The sequence below is a fragment of the Homo sapiens genome, chromosome 8, assembly GCF_000001405.40.
Source record: "Homo sapiens chromosome 8, GRCh38.p14 Primary Assembly".
Lineage (NCBI taxonomy): Eukaryota > Metazoa > Chordata > Mammalia > Primates > Hominidae > Homo > Homo sapiens.
Window position 1 is genome coordinate 106,989,112 of NC_000008.11, and position 3,721 is coordinate 106,992,832.

Here is a 3,721-nt window from a genome sequence, read left to right on the forward strand (position 1 = left end):
ATGAAAATAAGGAAATATTTGAAATTTGTATGCTTGGATACCTAGAAGCATCAGAACACAAAAATGATTAAAATTTGGGTGAATTAACTTAAGTGGCTAGATGTATAACATGCAAAACAGCAGTATGTTGTATGGGAAGCTATTAGATTTGAGAATAGGTCTGGCATAATCCCAACACTTAAAGGCCCATTCTAAGAGTTTTTAGAAACCAGACTGTAGACTTGCAAGGTAGAACGCAGAGAGGTTATTTAGGTGGGTTGTACAATTTTCCAGGATGAAGAGGACTTGGAACAGGCTACCACCTGGGTAGAAGTGAGTACATTTTGGGTGTATTTTGAAGAAAGAACCAACGAGTTTCATTGATAGATTGTGGCACAGGAGAAAAAGAGGTAGGATAATGCTATAAATTTGGGCCTAACAGGATGAATAAAATTGACATTTACTGAGAAGAATATTGGGGAAAAAACCACGTTGAAGGTAAGGAGAATCGGAAAGTTTTGAACATGCAAGTGTTAGGTGCTTTTTAGGCATCTAAGTGCAGACGTTGAGTAGATAGTTGCATGTATGAGTCTGGAGACTGGGGCTAGAGCTGCACATTTAGGCATCACCAGATCATGAAAGATTTTTAAACTGAGGCTTTGATGATATCACTTCAGAATGAGTTGGTTAGAGAAGAGCAGAGCACTGAGGTTTGAGTTATCAAGGCATTCTGACCTTCAGAAGGTGGACTAATGAAGAGGGACTAGCTAAAGGATCTTGGGAAAAAGTGGCCAGGAAGGTAAAAGACTTGTAGTACCTTGTGTCTCAAAAGTGAAGAAGAGTTTTTGTAGAAGGAGTTAATATTATTAAATGCTGCCAGTGGACCACATATGATGGAGACTAATGATTGGGTTTATTGCTGAGGAAGTCACTGGCATCCATGAAAGCCTGTTTGGAATGGGCCCGAGAGAACAGGAGAAGGAATAGAGAAAGTGGGTATAATCAACTCCTGAATTTTGTTCTAAAGACAGTTGTTTGTAGGAGGACATAAGGTGAAGGGAAAGGCTTTATCAATATTAGTGATATTACAACAACTTGCTATACACATGAGAATTATTCAGCAGAGAAAATATTGAAAAATCAATACTGTAGGAGAAAGAAGATAATTTCCTGGAGTGAGGTTCTTCAGTGAACAAGAAAGTCTGGTGCCTAAGTGGAACATTTGGTCCCACAACGAAGTGTGTATATTTTAGCTATTGTAACAGGAGAGGAAGAGAGTATATGAATTCAGGCGTGTGTGAGTTGATAGATTTGTAGGTGTGATGATGTACACATTCTCTTTTGTTTCCATTTTCTACATAAAAAGTAGAAGAGTTTTTTCAGCAAGAGGGAGATTCTATGAACTAAGTTGTGGAACCCCACCCCTCCCAGAGATTTTGTATGTTGAAATCCTAACCTCCAATGTGATAGTATTTGGAATGGGGACTTTGGGACATAATTAGGTTTAGGGGAGGTCATGAGGCTGGGGCCTTCATGATTGGATGACTTGCTCTTATGAGAAGAAACACCAGAGAGCTTGCCCTCTCTCTGCCATGTGAGGACACAGGGAGAATGTGGCTGTCTACAAACCAGAAAGAGGGTCCTCACCAAGGAACCACATTAGTCAGCAACTAGATCTTGGAATTCAAGCCTGCAGAAATGTGAGAAAATAAATTTCTGTTGTTTAAGCCACCCAGTTTGTGACATTTTGTTACCTAAAGCAAACTAAAACAGAAGAAGATATGTTAGAGATTTGAGGAGAAAATATGTAAAAGTAATATAGGAGAACAATAAGTGAATTGAGCAGGGAAATGTAATAGTAAGTTTGGCAGGCAGTTCTGAGGGCTTACCTAAGATTTTTATTCATAAATTTAAAGTTGGACTGTTCAGCATAGTTTCAGGTTTTATTCTAGCATTATTCAGCTACTTTAGTGCACAGAGAACAGTGTTGGACAAGGAAGTTTGAGTTATTGGGATATAATATGATGGAGGGAAAGAAGGAAAAGGAATTAGGGTGTTTACAATCATATGGTAAGTATGGTGTATAAAGATCACGTCAATGGTGGCAATATGCTAATAAACAATTATGAGTGTGAAACATGTATGATCTATTAAAAATTCTAACAGATAGGGTGGGTTTGTCATCTGTCAACTTGGCTAGGCTCAACAATATTTCCCAAAATTCCCTTTCTTGTATATTGCCAGTTAGAGTGGGCCACTAGAGAATGTTCATAGGATGTTTGGGGAATGGAAATTAAACAGAAATTTAATTTGTGGTTCATACCCAGTGGGGCTGTTTTGGATCTTGGTTTGGACAGCAACTGGGTCTGCAGCTTTAATTCCTTCCCCTGGATCCTCCTCCTCCTCTTGGCAGGTATGTGTCTAGCTACATGACAGGTGCCATCTTTCTGTGCAGAACACTGTGTCATCAAGATTGCAGGCAGTGAGAACTGGCATGGGTTTTATTCTTTCCTCATGGGTTCTAGTTGGTCCTTGATCTCCCCTGTATTACATCCATCTTGTGTCCCCAACTTTCTGCCCTGCAGACTTCAAGCTCCAACATCAAATGGAAGACAACAGCCTTACAAATACTACTGAGCCAGCTCCCATGATTGTGTAAGATTCAATCCTGATAACATGTCCCTTATTTTACATGCAGTGGTTCTGCTTCTCTGATAGAATTATTTCTGATGCCAGAGATTTATAGCACATGTCATGTTGTAAACTGAGATGATTAACTATTGGGCAGGTGTCAATTCTCCCTGAAAGCAGTTATGAATTTAATAGTCCTGATACAAATCCAGTTGGACACCTCCGAGAACTTAAAATGTCAGTAAGAATAGTTTAACAGTAAGTATGCCACAGAACACAGAAAGTCTCTGCACTGAATCTCTGAGGCTCCCTGGTGGGAGCATAAGGCTGGAACAAATTAATAGAAGTGGCCAGGTTCTGTACCATGCTTTGAAGCATGACATAGTTAAGTTGTGTGAAAGGTCTGGAGCAAGCAAACATAAACCAGAATGCAAGATGTTCATTTCAGATGGCAAGAATTAAGTGGAATAAAACAGTAGTTATAGCTAGCACATATGGTATATCTATGTGTGAGACACTCATTTTCTAAGTGCTACACACACATACTAGCTCATTTTATCATTACAGTAACCCTATGAGGTAAGTATTATTGTTTCTATTTTACACATCAAAAATGGAATCAGAGAGATTGAAGAACTTGCCCCAGGTCCCACCAGTAAGTAGCAATAAGGTCACGCCAGAGAGTGATGGAGGTTAGAGCTCCTACCCTACTTTCTCCTATTTTTCTTCGTTTTGACTTCAGCTCTGCTATTTGAGAAATTACCCTGGTACAGGCAGGAAATGGAGCAGCTCAATACCCCCAAGATACCCTTTAGAGCAGGGGTCTCCAACCACCTGAGCTCTACCTCCTGTCACACCAGTGGTGGCATTAGATTCTCATAAGAGCATGCACTCTAAATACTATTCTTAGATTGACGGATGTAAGTACTAGATCCCTGCACATACAATCTAGTACTTTTGCACAATCCATGGAAAAATTGTCTTCCACCAAACCAGTCCCTGGTGCCAAAAAGGTTGGGGACCACTGCTTTAGAGGAAGGTAGTAACAATTAATCTTGTAACTAAGTGAATGAACTTGGACCACTGAAGATGGAGAAAATCAACTCCATGA